The following is a 19,183-nucleotide window of genomic DNA, read 5'->3' on the forward strand; positions in this document are numbered from 1 at the left end:
TAGCAAGACCCTATCTCTACAAAAAATAACAAAAATGCTAGCCAGGCATGGTGGCACATGCCTGTAGCCCCAGCTACTTGGGAGGCTAAGGCAGAAGGATCGCTTAAGCCCAGGAGTTCAAGGTTCCAGTGAGCTATGATCGTGCCACTGCATTCCAGCCTGGGCACCAGATTTGAGATCCTGTCTCAAAAAAAGAAAAAAAAAAGTATATACAACTCCATGATTTCCTGATAAACACAAAAGAATAATTCCATTTGCCTTGGAGACATTTTTCTAAAAAAACTGATCTGACTTCTGACTATTCCTCTGATGGCATGTTCCTTGAGTAGCCTTCTCAGAGTTTTTTCTGGCTTCCCTCATTCTACTTTACAAAGCACCCCCCGCCTCCACTTTTTTTTTTTTTTTTTTGCCACAGGGTATAACTCTGTTTCTGCCTCCACCTTCCTAGACTTATTAGACAACCAGGCATTCAAAGTAAGCAGCTGAGAGGCAAAAAGAGACATCAGAAAGGATTTCCATAAATATCCTTCTAAACTCCTTCTTACACAGACCTTAAATGATATTTTGCAATCTAGCATTTACAACAGATAGCCTGGCTAATATAATCTGCTAGTCACATACATTACCTGTATCCTTTCTCTCTAGTTTGTGAGCCAAAAAGACATAAAAGCAACTTTCCTAAAATATAATTTCAAAGATTCTTCTTTATTGAATCATATTTATTTTCCTTTGTTTTGTAATACATTTAGGCTTTGGCTACTGGCACATACAAAGCTGAATAACGTATTAATGAGAAAACAAAAAAAGAAAGGAATGACAGCAAGCAAGAAAAGAATTGCTCTAGATAAAAATCTCGAGAAAACTGTCTTCCCTCCACAGTGTTACATCCATTGTACCTAACGAGAAAGCCTAAGTATGGTATCTGTATAGGTACACTGCAAGCTTCTTGATGAGAAGCACTGTGTCTTACCCCTATTCCCACACCAAGCAGACTTACAGCACAGAGAAAATATACAGCAATTGACTAAATTCTAAAATAGGGACTTTGGATCTCAAGTTATGAATATATTACTGTCATATCTTCTAGTGAGTACATGCTTGTTTCCCCCCTAAATTTGTTATTACACTGTTTTTTTTTTTGAGATGGGAGTCTCGATCTGTAACCCAGGCTGGAGTGCAGTGGTGCGATCACAGCTCACTGCAATCTCCACCTCCCGGGTTCAAGTGATTCTCCTGTCTCAGGGTCCAGGGTAGCTGGGATTACAGGCACACACCAGCAAGCCTGACTAATTTTTGTATTTTTAGTAGAGACAGGGTTTCTCCACGTTGGCCAGGCTGGTCTCAAACTCCTGACCGCAGGTGATCCATCCTTCTCAGCCTCCCCAAGTGCCCAGCCACTAACATTTTTAAGAAAATGTCACAATAAGCACTCTTAAGTATATCCAGCCATTCATTCATCAAATCCTTACTAGGTAGGCACCTTTTGCCTTGAATTTGTTATTGTTCTAGGACTGGAAGCAAAAAAAAAAAACAAATAATACATAGTTTTTGCTTTCCATGAATTCACAGGCTAATATTACAATGAGAGGGAAGTAAAAAGGTGCTTAAGAGAAGAAACTTTTAAAGATTTGGCTTTAATTATTTATCTTCTACAAAGATAATCTTTTTAATGCTTTATCTTCTAGTACACTCTACCCAGTGCACAGACAGTGTCTGGTACCTAATGAACACTCGGCAGTTTATGCAATGAGTGAATGAATCTCAGGGAACATCACAGATAAACGAATCTTAGCCTTGGGAGTGTGAGAAAGGTGAGACCGTTTTTAAGGACAAAAGTTGACTTGCTCATAGGCAGAGATGGAAAGGGAGCTTACAGGCAGAGGGAACAGCCAGAGCAAGAGCACAAAAACAGGAAACTGCATGGTAATCTAAGTATGCAAATTTCTCATATAGACGGAGCACAGGTTATAAGCTGGAAGTAGCTGAAGTTTTTACTCTGCAGGCAATGGGGAAGCAAGGGTGTCACTGTAAGACTTTACGGTCTATGTATGCATTTTTCCTCGACTTATAATTTTATTTTAATAATTATGCTATAAAAAGTTGGAAAAATAAGAGTTAAAAATGACTCATAACCTCAATTTCTGGGTTTTCATATTCTATCTTTGTAAGTTATAATTTTGATGTACAGAGATTCTGTATTTAGTTTTACTGATAAACATGTCATAGGGTTTTCCCATGTGAATACCAGTTTTCATAACCATTATTTTAATGACTTACAGTGGATGACCCACAATGTATCTACCAGTTTTCCTACAGTTGAAATTTTATATTTACTTCTAATTCTTTACTTAGCATTGGGAATCCTAGAAAGATGAAATACAGCTTTCGAAGACAAAAGATATTCATTTCTTCACATTATAAATAGTGTTGCAAGTAAACATTTTTGTAAACTTACCTCTTTTCCATATTTTGGATATTTTTCACTAGACTACAGGCCCAGAAATGGAATCACTGGGTCAGTGTTTACAAATATTTTTATGACTCTGAATAGACACTGCCAAATGCTTTCTAAAAAGGTTCTATATTTTATATTGCTACCTGCAATATATGAGAATATATCTTTCAGACCTATTTTAAAATAAATTTTTAGGCTTATTTTTCTTATAGATATTACACAAAAAAGGACAATCAGAAGCATAAGCAAAATGAAGAAAATTAAAACTACACATAATGCTACTACTCAGATACAATGCTGTTACCAGTCTAAACAGTTATATAAACACGCTCAGTTTTTTACCTAATGTGTGCGTGCGTGTGTGTATAATTTCTACCCCAATTTTCTAGTCACTTAATATCATCATCTTTCAAGATCAAGAAATACATTTAGGTTATTTCCACTTTTTTGTGAATAATAACACCATAACAAATACCCTTGTAGCAGAACCTTTGTGCATATCCTTAAATATTCCTGAAAATAATGTGTGCAGTTTTTTAATTAATTAAATTTTTTTTTTTTGAGACAAGAGTCTCGCTCTTGTTGCCCAGGCTGCAGTGCAATGGCGTGATCTTGGCTCACTGCAATCTCTGCCTCCCGGGTTCAAGTGATTCTCCTGCCTCAGCCTCCCAAGTAGCTGGGATTACAGGCATGCACCACCATGCCAGGGTAATTTTGTATTTTTAGCAGAGACAGTGTTTCACCATATTGGCCAGGCTGGTCTCGAACTCCTGACCTCAGGTGATCCGCCTGCCTCGGCCTCCCAAAGTGCTGGGATTACAGGTGTGAGCCACCACGCCTGGCCTAGGGCGCAGTTTTAGAGGATGTACAGAGGAAGGTGCTGAAGACACAAAGAAGAAGAGTAGACAGCACTGAGCTTCACACAGTCTCCTCCTCACTCTCATGCCTAACTGATACCTCCTCCTATCCTCCATGTTTCAATGTAAACATCACTTTCTCCAAAAAGGCTACTTCTGAGCCTCCAGCCTATTGTAACTGCCTCTGCTATGTGTTCCAAAACACTTTGTAACTTTGTATTTCTCCTGTGATAATGCTCCTTACCCTTTGGTACATCTACTTGTTTACCAGTTTGTCTTGCTCAGCAAACGTAATATATCTCACCCCCGTATTCTCAACTGCTAACCTGACAGAGCTGAAGCTAAACAACACTTTGTTGAATGAATCAGAGGGTGGGAAGTAAGGGAATGAGAAAAGTTTAGTCTTAGATTAGCGGAAAAGCTTAAAATAATTATAACTCCAATAGTCTTCCCTTAAACGTGGTTTCACTTTCTATGGTTTCAGTTACCTGTTGCTGAATACCACGAAAATAGGGAAGTGAGATACTGAGCTGGTAGAGGAAGGAATTAGTTACTTCAATACTGGAGGGCAGATGATAAGAATTCAATAGTAACTGGCAGAAGGAATTTAGAAAAATGAATTTAAAACAATGTAATTATATATTTTTTAAAGTGACTGTGAGAATGAAAAAGGTAAAACTAGCTATTAAAAAACAAAACAAGCTGGGCACTGTGGTGCGTGCCTGCAGTCCCAGCTACGCGGATGGCTGCGGCAGGAGGACTGTTTGGGCCCAGAAGTTCAAGTCCAGGCTGGGCAACAAAGCAAGACCCTACCTTTAAAAAAAAGAAACAAAACCCCTATGGCCTCAATATCAAGGTGGCAAGTCACCTGAAATTTAATCAAATAAAAGATTTTTGGCATAAAATATTTTCTGTTATATTTTTGAGTTTTTCCTACCTAATTTCCTCATATTATGTAGGAGAGCCCTTCCTCAATATAGAGGTTTTCAGTACACTGATTAACAAATTTTCAAAAAGTATTCCATATCAAGGGTTAGTTTTTAAAAAACAAAAATTTTTTTACCAACAAGAGTAGAGGAACATTTTCTCATGGATGAAGAAATGGGTCAAAAACAATAGATTGTGGTTTAGTCGTTACCTCTGCCCAAGCTTTGAGAACAGCCAGTTTTTCCATGGTCGTGGCACTCTCTCGGTACAGCTGGCTGGAAGATCCTTTTCCAGCCTGAACTTTGTCCAGAGAAGAAACAAGAAGATTGTGTACTCGACGGAGATCATTGAGATCACTGACAACTCCACTTCCTATCCATGTACTACATACCTAGACAAAGAGAATTCAAAAACTTTTGTGTAAAAAAAATTAATGCTGTATAAGAAAATGGAATAAATGACTTTTTTCCTAGAAGATAAAACACAAAACCAAAGAACAAAACAAAATAAACTACCCAATGCTATGCTTTGATATTATTATTATTATTTTGAGACAGAGTTTTGCTCTGTCACCCAGGCTGCAGCGGAGTGGCGTGATCTCGGCTCACTGCAAGCTCCACCTCCTGGGTTCAAAAAATTCTCCTGCCTCAGCCTCCCAAGTAGCTGGGACTACAGGCGCGTGCCACCACACTTGGCTAATTTTTTTGTATTTTTAGTAGAGACGGGGTTTCACTGTGTTAGCCAGGATGGTCTCGATCTCCTGACCTCGTGATCTGCCTGCCTCAGCCTCCCAAAGTGCTGGTATTACAGGTGTGAGCCACCGTGCCCAGCCAGTATTATTTTTTATATCAATGGTAAGCATAGATTTTATTGTACTCCTACGTAGAAAACAAAATAGTATTTACTTAACATGTTTCCACCGTGTACTTTAACAAAAATGTTAACAGAAATAATTTTCCACCCAAAGCAGTTCAGTCTTGAATAATTCTTCAACAAAATTTCTGCTTACCACAGGAAAAGGGTTATGCTTGCTGCTATAAAGGGGACTTTAAAAAAAAAAAAAAAGAGGCTGGGCGCAGTGGCTTACACCTGTAATCCTAGCACTTTGGGAGGCCAAGGCAGGCGGATCACGAGGTCAGGAGATTGAGACCATCCTGACCAACATGGTGAAACCCCATCTCTACTAAAAATACAAAAATTAGCTGGGCGTGGGCATGGTGGCGTGTGTCTGTAATCCCAGCTGCTCGGGAGGCTGAGGCAGGAGAATCGCTAGGGAGCCAGAGGTTGCAGTGAGCCGAGATCGCACCACTGCACTCCAGCCACGACAGGGCGAGACTTTGTCTCAAAAGAAAGAAAGAAAAAAAAAGGAATAGGAAAAAAAAATCTAGTCCCTACCCTCAAGTAAGAAAACACAGATTGAATGAACACATGGGAATGTTTTATGACTGTAATATGGGACACTTAAAAACAGACAAGGGAAAGATTAATTCTAGCAGGAGGAATGGGAATGTTTAGGTGTCAAAGAGGTTTGTATGTATAGACATAGGAGAGTTACATGAGGAAGAGATGTGATTAGGAAAGTTAATTGGGATTAGATTAAGGTAAAATTTACATTCCATGGAAAATGAATTTAGACTTCATTCTGTAAGCAATTGTGAGTTTCCATGGCCTCTGGACAGGGGGATCATATTATTAGAATTGTGCTTTAGGAAAACTGTTCCAGTACTTCTGTATAAGAAAAAATGTATATAGACAGTAAGTAATATGTTAAGTGTCTTTTATAATACCATAGAACAGAGATGATACGGATCAAACTGGGAATGGAATAAAAAAGGAGAAGCATCTGAGACAGACTTGTAGTTAGAAATCCCAGGATATGGAAACTAATTAGCTATTTTAGGGGGCGGGTGAAGGGAGATACAAAAAGAGCAAGGAATCAAAAATTTCTAAATGCTGATTGTTGAAGCTTCTGACTTGAATGGAAGGAAGGTGATACTACTGCTTTACGGGGATGATAGGGGAAACAAAGGAAACTAAGTAAGTGGAGATGAGAAGTGAGACAGCGTGATTTTAATTTTGAACATTTTTACATGCTGCATTCAAAGTGCCACTAAGAGACTTGTGGAAAGATATTCAGCAGGCAATTAAAAACTTGGGTCTGGATTTCAGGAGCAAGTTCAAGGGTAATTACATAACCCTAGGAATTCCCACACAAAGGTGATAACTAAAGTATTGTTAAATTTTTTTCAAGGACAGCTTTAAACAAAAAAAATAAAGCCTTAAAGCCAGACCAGATGGAACATAGTTACAATTAAGGGACAAGTAGAATAAGAATAAAGAAAGAAATTGAAAAGAAAATACCAGAAAAACAAAAGAAAAACCAGGCAAGTGCAGTGACAATGGAGCCAAGGGAAGAGTTTCAAGAAGGAAGGGGTGGTCTCAGAGTGTCACCTTTAACAACAATAATTACATGTCCTTACTTTCTTTTTTTTTTTTTTTTTGAGACAGAGTCTCACTCTGTCACCCAGGTTGGAGCGCAGTGGCGTGATTTTGGCTCACTGCAACCTCCGCCTCCCAGGTTCATGCCATTCTCTTGCCTCAGCCTCACAAGTAGCTGGGACTACAGGCGCCTAACACCAGGCCCGGCTAATTTTTGTATTTTTAGTAGAGACGGGGTTTCACCACGTTAGCCAGGATGGTTTTGATCTCCTGACCTCGTGATCTGCCTGCCTCAGCCTCCCAAAGTGCTGGCATTACAGGCACGAGCCACCGCGCCCGGCCACATGTCCTTACTTTCTCATCTGAAATCCTTGGACCAAGATTTTTTTCAGAGTTCACAACTTTTGGGTAAAAGGTAATAAGGTACCTGAACCTCATTAAAGTATACACCTAGCAAGATGTGTGGCAGCACCCCATAATTAACACACAGATGTATCTGCAACAAAATGTATTACAAATCACAATAAGAAAGATTAACTAATGCTACATTCTCACTTAGCTTCACATCAGAGCCAAATTAGTACAAGTCAGCTCAGGTTTTGCTGCCAAATAAATGATTAAAAAAGCTTTTGATTTTCACAGCATTTGGATTTCAAATCATGGCTAATGGACTTGAGTTCCTATATTGAAAACGTTTTAAAAGTGGAGAATAAGTATTTATGTCAAATTTTATTCTCAAAGAATTCAAAACTAATTTTAATAAAATTAATAAGGACATTTTTAACTGATTGTTACCAATTAAGGAGATACTGATGGCAAAACTTAAAATGCCAGTCAAAACTGCTGAAAAATAATTAAATTTAAAGTGAAAAGAAATTAAATATGAACATGAAAAGAAAGAGCTGTTACTCCCAAAGGAAACTAAAGAACATATGGGAAAGATTTGATAAATATTTCTGTGAAATTTGGTAGAAATATAACTAAAAAATTGGGGAAAATTATAAAGATTAGGAATTTGGCACTAAGCTTTCTTTGTAAAAACCTAAGTATTTTCTTCACATTAAAGAATCAGAAACTAGGCCGGGCACGGTGGCTCACCTGAGGTCAGGCATTCAAGACCATCTTGGCCAACACGGTGAAACCCCGTCTCTACCAAAAATACAAAAATTAGCTGGGCGTGGTGGCACACACCTGTAATCCCAGATACTTGGAAGGCTGAGGCAGGAGAATTGCTTGATTGCTTGAACTCGGGAGGCGGAGGGTGCAGTGAGCTGAGATCATGCCACTGCACTACAGCCTGGGCAACAGAGGGAGACTGTGTCTCAAAAAAAAAATGACAGGTGCGGTGGCTCACACCTGTAATCCCAGCACTTTGGGAGGCCCAGGTGGCTGGATCACCTGAGGCCATGAGCTCGAGACCAGCCTGGCCAACATGATGCAACCCCGTCTCTACTAAAAATACAAAAAATTAGCTGGGCATGGTGACGTACACCTGTAATCCCAGCTACTCAGGAGGCTGAGGCAGGAGAATCGCTTGAACCTGGGAGGTGGAGGGTGCAGTGAGCCAAGATTCATGCCACTGTACTCCAGCCTGGGCAACAAGAGCAAAATTCCGTCTCAAAAAAAAAAAAAAAAAAAAAAAGAATCTGAAACTAGAATCACAGATAATGCATTATGGATTTTGTTTATGAAGAATGACAAAGTAGCATTGAATTAGTAAAATAATATTCAGAGAAAAGACTTTGCCCTACATCAAAAGATTGGTGAATGAATGTACATTTTAAAATTTTATGCTGAAATAAAATATTTAAGTACGCATTATGTTCATGATCTGACCCTACTTTAAATGATTTTTTATTGATCCACTGATTACTGTACCCAGTTGTGTGACATCTGAGGGTCCTTCCTATAATATCTAAGAGTTACCCTGATTTTAAAGTTTCTTAACATGGCATTTGTTCTAACAAACAGGCTGGGATATCATTAAGCCAACTCCTTACTTTCCTTAAAGGAAAGGAACTTGTAACCTACTGCTTTACCTGTCAGGAAACCAGGTTTCCTCCCAGCAACAGAAGGAAAGGAGGTCACAAATTTAAGCCTGCCACTAGAAAAAAAAAAACTTCTTATAAAAAAAAATGCAACTAGGGCCACAAAAGAAATAAGTTTAAGGCAAATTCAGTATTCATATACAAGATACAATTCTAATAGCCTTTGCTTTTCTAATGATCAGGAGCATTGTAGGAGATTTTGTCTGCTTAAATGCTGTGCTCTGAAACGTCATCATGATACACTTATTTACATATGGACAGTAATTTTTTGATATTTGTGTGGCAGTATCCCAAACCAAATTACCTAGTCGAAGGTTTGCATCACGATCCAGAGACCTATCTCTTACCAACAACGTTTCTTTTCTCTCTGGTCTCCTGTCCGTGGAAAGAGTTAATTTCTCTGAAGACTGCCATTAAGGCAGCAGGCTTCAGAGATATCAATTTCAAAAATGGAAGGAAGGGGCAAACTTGCATTCAGCTACAGAGAGGATAAAGTCAGAATTTTAAACCTATTATTGCAGAATCTTCTCTGCATAGAGGTCACATGAAGCTTGGCCATGGATTCTAAGCAAAAATGATGGACCACAGCACCGTACTCCAGAAAACTAGGAAGAAGAGAGTTGCTTATCTTCTCTCTTTAGGTAAGGAGACAAATAAACTGATTACCTAAAAGATTAGAGCTTAATACATGAATCCTTTTTCAAAATGAAGCATATGAAAAAGAGAAACTGATTAAAGGAATAAGAAAATATGCATTTTTTGGGGCAGGGTGTGGTGGCACATCCCTGTAATACCAGCACTTTGGGAGGCCAAGGCAGGTGAATCACGAGATCAGGGGTTTGAGACCAGCCTGACCAACATGGTGAAACACTGTCTCTATTAAAAACACACAAATTAGCTGGGCGTGGTGGCGGGCACCTAATCCCAGCTACTCAGGAGGCCGAGGCAGAAGAATTGCTTGAACCCGGGAGGCGGAGGTTACAGTGAGCAGAGATCGCATGCCACTGTGCTCCAGCCTGGGTGACAGAGTGAGACTCAGTCTCCAAAAAAAAAAAAGAAAATGTACGTTTTTTGGTGGTTTTGTGAGTCTCTGCAGATATAACAAGGTGAGAATAATTCCCTGGGATTAATTTTGCAATGAAATGTCTATATTGTGAAATTCTCCTTAGTATGATTTAATACCCACAAAGTAGCAAAATTTTCATAATGTGTGGTCAAAAACAATGTTTTGACCACAATGTTTATTACCTAATTATTATTTCATCATTTCACAAAGAATAAAAAGGAAAACTGCCATTGTTGTATTTCCAAGATAAAAATATTATTTTGTTTTTCCTCTCTCTCTTTTTTTTTTTTTTGAGACAGGGTCTCGCTCCGTTGCCCAGGCTGGAGTACAGTGGCGAAATCTTGGGTCATTGTAGCCTTGACCTCCTAGGCTCAAGATATCCACCAACCTCAGCCTCCAGAGTAGCCTGGACTACAGGTGTATGTTACCATGCCCAACTAATTTTTGTATTTTTTGTAGAGACGGGGTTTCCCCATGTTGGCCAGGCTGATCTCAAACTCCTGAATTCAAGCGATCCTCCCATGTTGGTCTCCCAAATTTTTCTCTATTCCTTTACACAAGTTAAATTCTAAGATATCTATGAATGTATAGAAGACAACTATACAAAGTCCCATTTTTCTTCTTACCTGGCAAGCTTTCGCTATTATATCTGATGGTGTATCTTGTGAAAAGGCTGGTCTTAGAGCAGCTCCCACCTAGAAAAATAAATAAAGCATTTTATTTTTTACTTTTATTTTTTGAGACACGGTCTTACTCTATCACCCAGGCTGGAGTGCAGTGGTGCGATCTCGGCTCATTGCAACCTCTGCCTCGTAGGCTCAAGCGATTCTCCTCCCTCAGCCTCCGAAGTAGCTGGGATTATAGGCATGCACCACTACTGCCAGGCTAATTTTTGTATTTTTAGTAGAGACAGGGTTTCACCATGTTGGCCTGGCTGGTCTTGAACGCCTGACCTCAAATGATCCACCCACCTCGGCCTCCCAAAGTGCTGGGATTACAGGCGTGAACCACCATGCCCGGCCTCAGTAATACCTTTAACTGTTGTTATTAAGAGTTAATTTATCCTTCATTATACAAGGGGCAACTGCTATCTATTTCTAAAAATGCTTATGAAGGTTTGCCATATAAAAATAACGGCAGCAAATCCACAACACTCTTTTGAAGGTTCCTTTTATCTCTTAAAGGGCAGAGCTAAATATCTAAACACAAGACTGGAAAGCTGAGCTGGAATTTCTATTCTAGTTTTATCACTAATATGTTATCACAACTTAAAAATAGTGACAACAGCTTGACACTTATTTCTTCATTTGTGGGGTGACTAAAACTAGGTAACAGACAATGGAGATAAAGAGATGCATTCTACAGAAATAAACAGATTGCAGTTCCAAATGCAGTCCTCCAGGAAGTCTGCACTTCTTCAGCAATCTTTCAAAAGATCAATTTTAAGTTCTTAAATAAATAGAAAATCTCACATTAGCCTGATACTGCTCCAGTATCACATGACCTGGAAATTCTGGCTCAGGCACAGACGCAAACTTCTTGATAATGTCTTCAAGCGCCTGGAGCCCAGCCATTCGCAGCTGGTTGCTATGATCAGTTGCAGCCATGAATGCCATGCGAATGAGGTCAGAGAGATGAAGTACCAAGAGGTCATCTAAAAATAAAAATAGAATGCAAAAATGAAAACTTTTCCAAAAATAAGTGTAATAACATAAAAATATGAAATGAAATAAATTTTTGATAAAAAACACAATCCACATATTTCACAACTTTGAAAATAGCAAAGATATTATATTCTTTCAAGACAACTTCCATATCAATCTTTCAAGAATAGTGATATACAATACAGTAATGCTGATGATGTTATAGGACTTACAATGATATGTTATGCAAAATACTTTTAACGTAACTTTCCCAAAATGAGTTTCTGATCCTTTAAGAACAAAGGCTTGGCAGACTTTTTTGGTAAAGAACCAGATAGTTAATATTTTTGGCTTCATGAAAGAAAACAGACTCTTGGGACCCCAAAACTCACTATGCCAAAGAGAAAGTTAAGCTTGGGAACTGAGTCTTGCAATACTGCCTTTTGTTCCCAGGTAGCTGTAATTTCACAACTGTGTGTCATTGCCTCATTTTAAGCCAGGTTCCCACAATGATAGAAGGCCAAAAATCTTCCTAAATGGCCTCCTCTCACAAATTGCTCACAAGGAATCTTCGGAATACATATCCCCCACTAAGAACCAGCCCTAAAACCAAGTTCTGTTGAATCTCACCCTGACAATGTCAATTACCAGCTTATTTTCACAGGTATAGGACAATGACAAGATGAGAAATCATCCCTCTCTCTATGCTGTGGCCAATGCGTAACTGACTTTTTCCTGTATTCCCCCTTTTCACATGTAAAATGTAGATTCACTGAGGCTAGGCAGGGCGAAGTGGCTCAGCCTGTAAACCTAGCACTCTGGGAGGCTGAGGTGGGTGGATAGCTTGAGCTCAAGAGTTTGAGACCAGTCTGGGAAACATGGTGAACCCCATCTCTACAAAACATACAAAAATTAGCTGGGCATGGTGGCGTGGACCTGTAGTCCCAGCTACTCAGGGGGCTGAGGTAGGAGGATCCTTTGAACCTGGGAGGTCAAGGCTGCAGTGAGCCGAGATCACGCAACTGCACTCCAGCCTGGGTGACAAAGTGAGACCCTGTTTCAAAAAAAAAAAAAAAAAAATTTACTGAGGCTAATCAGAGCCTCATAGGAATATAATAACCATCTGATCACTGCTTACCCTTCGTTCCCTTTTTTTTTCCTTCCTGCTGTTCTTTCTTCTTTAAATAAGGAAGTTCCCAAAACCCCCTTTGGAAAAAACACAGGTCACAGATGCTCCTGTTACCTGTGTTTTTTCCCAGGTGAATCCTTAACCTTGGCTAATAAACCTCTATCAATTGATATCTGCTTCAGTCACTTTTTGGTTCACACTTTATAGGCTATATTATCTCTTTTTATCATTTTTTTTTTTGAGATGGAGTATTGCTCTGTTGCCCAGGCTGGAGTGCAGTGGTGTGATCTTGGCTCACTACAAACTCTGCCCCCAAAGGGTTCAAGCGATTCTCCTGCCTCAGCCTCCCAAGGAGCTGGGATTACAGGCACCCACCACCACGCCCAGCTAATTGTTGTATTTTTAATAGAGATGGGGTTTCACCATGTTGACCAGGCTGGTCTCAAACTCCTGACCTTGTGATTCGCCCACCTCGGCCTCCCAAAGTGCTGGGATAACAGGCGTGAGCCACCATGCCTGGGCTCAGGCTATATTATCTCCATTGCAACTACTCAACTCCACTGTTAAGGTGCAAAAGCAGCCACAGACAATACGTAGAGAAATGAGTGTGCTGTGCTCCAATAAAACTTTATTTACAAAAAAGGCTGTAGGTTGGATTTGGACTGTAGGCTGGAGTCTGCCAATCTCTAGAAAAACTCTTGTCAGGAAACTTAAATCTACAAAATAAGAAGGAAACGACCTTTATAATAAGATATGGAAAAGGGAAATGTTTTTCCTTTTAGCCCTAGAGTAAAAGTTGTCCTGGATCTGTATGAACAAAGTTTAAAAGCAAGTCTCAGAATAATTAAAATGATACCAAGTAATTTAACTACATCCCAGAACAAAGTCCAAAATTATTTTGGAATACATCAAAATCCAGCACTAATATCGTAAAATTTACAGGGTCTGACATCTAATAAAAAATTACCAAGAATGCAAAGAAGTAGGGAAATATGTCTCACAACAAAGAGAGAGAGAGAAAAAAATCAGTGAATAGAAACAAGTCTAGAAATGAAAAAGATAAGATAATTAGACAGGGAACTTTAAATAGCTATTATCAATATGTTTCCTATGTTCAAAGAGGGAAAAGAAAAGCACGAAAATAACTAAGGGAGAAATGAAAGGTAGAAAAAAATCACAAAGGGGAATTTAGAGATATAAAGTAAAATATCTGAAATGAAAACTACACTGGATAAAATTAATAGAGATTAAATACTAAAGATCAGTGAACTGAAAAGACTTAGCAACACAAATTATCTAAAGAAATTATTAAGCTCAAGGTCTATGAAGTTCTTCAGGAGGCTTCAAAACCCACAAAGTCTTTTTGAAGCAGTGACATATCTATGGTTCAGCCTGATCCCCAAGCAGTTCCTATTTAAAGAAGTTTTTGTTGTCACTGTTGTTGTCAAAGTTATAAGATGTGTATCTTCATATTTTTTCATGTGCCTACCAAAAAAACTAATTTTAGAATCTTGAGTTTAAAAAGAATATCTGGCCAGGTGCACTGACTCATGTTTGCAATCCTAGAACTTTGGGAGGCCAAGGCGGGCAGATCACTTGAGGCCAGGAGTTTGAGACCAGCCTGGCCAACATGGTGAAACCTCGTCTCTACTAAAAATACAAAAATTAGCTGGACATGGCGGCGGGTGCCTGTAATGTCAGCAGCTCAGGAGGCTGAGGCAGGAAGATCGCTAAGATCGCTTGAACCCAGGAGGCTGAGGCTGCAGTGAGCCGAGATCACAGCACCGCACTTACCTTGGGTGACAGAGCAAGACTCTGTCTCAGAAAAAGATAAATAAATAAAATAAAAATAAAAAGAATATCAGTTGCTTTGTGGGTGGGAGGCAAGCAGAGAAGGCAAAACATTTGGCTAGAAGCCCACAGTGCTTCCTCACCTATAGGAAGCAAAAACACACCACCAGTAAAAGCAAGGTTTTGAACTAAGTATGTTGAAGAGATATCTGCACTCTCATGTTTACTGCAGGACTATTCACAATAACTGAGATATGAACCAACCTGTGTCTATCAATTGATAAAGAAAATGTGGTATAAATACATAATGGAACACTATTCAGCCATAGAAAAGAATAAAGTCCTATTATTTGAGACAACATGGATGAACTTGGAGGCATTAGGTTAAGTGAAATATGTCAGGCACAGAAAAATACCACATGATCTCACTCATAGGTGGAATCTAAAAAAGTTAATCTAACAGAAGTAGAGAGTAGAATGGCGGTTACCAGAGGTTAAGGGTAAGATGGGGATATGTTGGTCAAAGTACATGGAATTACAGTTAAATAGGAGGAATAAGTGTAAGAGATCTACTCTATAGCACGGTGACTATACTTAATGACAATACACTGTATTCTTGAAAAATGCAAAGATGGTGGATGTTAAGTGGTCTCACACAAAAATGATAACTAGGTGAGGTAATGCATTTGTTAATTTGCTAGATTTAACTATTCTACAATGTATGCATACTTCAAAACATCTTGTTGTACATGATATATATATTTGTAAGTCAATTAAAAAAATTTTGCCCAACTGATAAGCTAGAAAAGATGGTAATTATGTTATATGTATTTTACTACAACAAAAAATTGAGAAACAAACAAACAAGAATGAGGTATAATAAACTACTGCCAAAATTTGGGAGAAAATTCCCAAGGCAGTACAAAGTAGATTAAAATGGGTCTACTTACATTATGCCAACCTAAAAGTAAATAAAAAGACCTATTATTTCTCCTGCACTCTATCACCTAATTTACAAAGTCTAGGACTATATCAATCTACCAAACCAAAATCTAGGTAATTGTTTCTGGAACGAGAGCGCCACTTTCCCCAACAACCAGAGTGCTGCTGCTTCTCTGCCCATCTCTATGTCTACCCTTCCTCAAAGCAAGACCTCCGTCTTTTTTCTAAATCCTAGGAAATGAACTCTTGAAAAGGTGGGAATGAGAAGGGGACTGAGCAAAAACTTCAAAGTGGAAAGATAATTCGGTGGTGTATTATATTTGGGGAGTAGTAATTCCCTACAATTAAAGCATAGGAGATAGGAAGATGAAGAGATGAAGATGATAGAGGAGAGCCTGAATAGCACATTTATTGGGTCTATACTTTTTCATATACTCTGCCATGACTGTTCAGAATCAGAATGGCAGGCGGTGATGTTAGAAAGCATCCTGTTAGAAAGGATCCAGAACAAAATATGTCAGACACTGGAATCTAGGTGGGAGCTGTTACAACAGCTTACCCTCCAACTACAGATGGGAAATACATGAACAACAGAGAACATGGGCAATCCACCTCCACACTGAGAGAAAATTCCAAATACGGAGAGTACTCTTCTCTTTCAAGAATATATAAACAATTAAGTTTATTAAAGAAAAATGCAACCAGGGAAAAGAACGATTCTGAAGATTCAGAGAAATGGCTAATCTCTGGAAACAGTGTTCTATAAAAACCAGAATTAAAAAAAAAAATCATGCGGCATCCTCGATAGGATGAAAAGAATCCTGGCTGCTATGGTATAAAAACAGAAAACCTTAGAGAGTAAAAAGGATATGATACAATGGAGGTGGGAGAAACGTAGACAAATTACAGGAAAATTAAAAAAAATTAAAGCAGACTTAAGATTACTAATGAAGGCAGAAAAAAGCAAAACATCAATGTATAAAGAAAAAACCTGTGAGGATCTCTGAGAACTAAGGTAAAAGGACAAGACACAATGAGGAAGAAAAATAACAGTTAAGAAATCCAAAGAAAGAAAGGTCAACCTAAGGATTTTCACTATTCCCTAAATGTAGTATGCACACTTATGATTCCTTGGCTTTACAAATTCTTACTTCCTCTGATTCTTTTTATTTACTTATTTATTTATTTGGCAATCAGCTTTTTCATGTTGAATCCCTCTGCTTCTAATAAACCAGTGTAGTAGGCAGAATATTAGCACCCCAAAATCTCCACACCTAATCCCTAGAACCTGTGAATATGTTACCTTGCAGGGCAAAAGGGACTTTGCAGATGTGATTAAGGTTATGGAGTCTAAAACATGGAGACTGGCCTAAATTATCAAGGCAGACCCAGTCTAATCACATGAGTCCTTAAAAGCAGAGCACCTTTCCTGGCTGCAGTCAGAGACATGTGACGACTGAAGAAGCATCAGAGAGATTTAACGCTGCTGGCTTTGAAGAGAGAGAGGGAGCCGTGAGCCAGGGAGTGCGGGCAGCATATACAAGCTGGAAAGAAAAGGAAAGGGATGCCCCCTAGAGCCTCTAGAAAGGAACACAGCCCTGCTGATGCCTTGATGTTAGCCCAGCGAGACTCTTGTTGGACTTCTGACCTACAGAACTGTAAGATGATAAACTTGTGTGATTTTAAACCAAGTTTGTGGGCATTTGTTATAGCAGCAATAGAAAACTAATGCCACCAGTCTCTTCTAACCCTTTCTCTGCCTTTAAAACTAATCTTCAAAATAACCTCTTCTGTGACGTCTTCCCTGGCTTTATAGGAAATGAATACCATGTGTTTTTTAATGTTCTCAAAGTACTCTAACATACTACTACTGGGACACGCCATAACTATTTGACTGAGAAGTCTGTCTCTCTGTCTTCTAGGCTATAAGTTCTTCCAGGGTATGGACTATGTTTTTTTCTTCTATGTATCCCTACCATATACCAAAAAACAGGATGCAGTAAATATCTGCTGAATAATTACATGAACAAAAACACTATGTTCATGATGTATTGTGCTTTGCTGATTACCTATATTCAGAGTCTCATTTTATACATGTTGTACTACTGTTTTACAGTTTGTATGTTTTTGAGACAGAGTCTTGCTCTGTCGCTCAGGCTGGAGTACGGTGGCGTGATCTCAGCTCACTGCTACCTCCGCCTCCCAGGTTCAAGCGATTCTCCTGACTCAGCCTCCTGAGTAGCTGGGACTACAGGCATGTGCCAGGACGCCCACTAATTTGTTGTATTTTTAGTAGAGATGGGGTTTCAGCATGTTGGCCAGGCTGGTTTTGAACTCCTGACCTCAAGTGATCCACCTGCCTCAGACTCCCAAAGTGCTGGGATGTAATTACAGGCATGAGCCACCGCACCCAGCCTGTTTGTTTTAAAAATATCTATGTGAGCTCTGCTGCTTCTTATACACAATGAAATAACCCAAAAGGCATTTTCAATTCATAGACGTCAATATTGTTAACACATACAATTTGTCTTCAGATATTTAAAAAATGACTGGGTGATGAAGAGACAACAAACTATAGGATAAGGAATCTGTTACTCTATCACCTCTCAATTTCTCTGGGTCTCTTCAACTATGAAATGAAGGTACTGGGTCTGATGGTCTCTTTGTAAATTCCCTATAATAACAGATTCAGGGGATACATGGTATAAAAAGTTTACAAAAGATAAAAAATAATAAGATAAAAATTGTTTCCATAATAAACAATTTTCACCTTTTCAAAAATACCTAATAGCACTTCTGAAATTTGAGAGTTTGAAATCTACCAGTGCATTCATGAATTCTGATACTCTCCATGGCTGGGGACGGCAAAGCTCACTTTATTTATATGCCTTAAAATTTTACCATTTCCTTTCCGCTGAAATGCTAAAATCCAGGACAACGTACTGAGAAAAACCTAAGTAACTGCCATCATTATCCTTTGGGCAAATGATTAAATAGACACACAGATCAATCTATCTTGTGGACCACCTTCTTCAACTTATCTTCCCAATAGGAATCAGAAGATGACTAGTATGCAGAGGGGACAGAAAACTAAGATGAAAGGCAAGAGAACTTACAATAAATAAATGGCATATTCTAAAGCACGCTATATCTGTCGCAGTAAAATATCTCATAGCAGCAAAATGTCTCAAGGTGTAAAAATGCTTTGGGGAAAAAGTACTGATTTTAAATTTACTTGTAGGGTTTCGAAGTTTAGCAGAACGTGCCAAGGCAAGATCAAAGTGAGCCTGGTCTGCATTCTCACACAAATTGATGATTCGACACAGGCAATCGGCAGCAAATACTCGAGTGGCCCAGCGAGGGGCCACAAAGGGCTTTGATTTATCTTCTTCACCTAACGTGGTAAACATGGTATCATCATCCATCTCATCTTTCTTTTCAGCTTCTTCATCTTTTCCACTACTTAAGAGAGTTGCAGTACTCATATCTATAACAAGAATAAGGAATATTGTAACAATCTCACATAAGCAAAAATGATCCTTTAAAAAGTTATTAATATTAAAATTTTTTTAATTTAAAAAAAGACTAAATTCTTACTTGCTGGAAAACAGTAAAACTAGCAGAATTTTTTTTAAACAATCAAAAGCCAAGGAAAAGATAACATAAATTACTTTTATGTAAACTACATTTAAATATTTCAATAGTTTTACATACTATGTCATACTCTAGAGTAACTTGGGGTTTTTATACATGAAAATTTAGTTTGAACTTCCAAAAAATTTTGAAATATATTTTCCCAACAATATAAAAAAGCTCATTTGTTTATAACATAATTTAACTTTCAACATTTTGACAGAGATTTGTAGATCAAAAGTTATTACTTTTA

At 38.5% G+C, this 19,183-nt stretch overlaps 1 protein-coding gene across 11 annotated transcripts in view; it reads right to left on the bottom strand.

Annotated features, from left to right (window-relative positions):
- Positions 1 to 19,183, bottom strand: part of HEATR5B (HEAT repeat containing 5B) — a 103,478-nt gene that overhangs the window by 28,496 nt on the left and 55,799 nt on the right. For 10 of the 11 annotated variants that reach the window (XM_047444812.1, XM_047444810.1, XM_006712035.5 and 7 more), the window contains 4 exons: positions 18,533 to 18,784; positions 11,265 to 11,446; positions 10,419 to 10,487; positions 4,451 to 4,630 (listed from right to left, as the gene is read on the bottom strand). In XM_047444812.1, coding sequence (XP_047300768.1) covers positions 4,451 to 4,630; positions 10,419 to 10,487; positions 11,265 to 11,446; positions 18,533 to 18,784 — 683 coding nt within the window. Of the gene's footprint in view, positions 1 to 4,450; positions 4,631 to 10,418; positions 10,488 to 11,264; positions 11,447 to 18,532; positions 18,785 to 19,183 lie in introns of those variants that run through there. The other variant, XM_047444815.1, reaches the window with a different exon arrangement.

This window comes from Homo sapiens, chromosome 2 (assembly GCF_000001405.40).
Source record: "Homo sapiens chromosome 2, GRCh38.p14 Primary Assembly".
Lineage (NCBI taxonomy): Eukaryota > Metazoa > Chordata > Mammalia > Primates > Hominidae > Homo > Homo sapiens.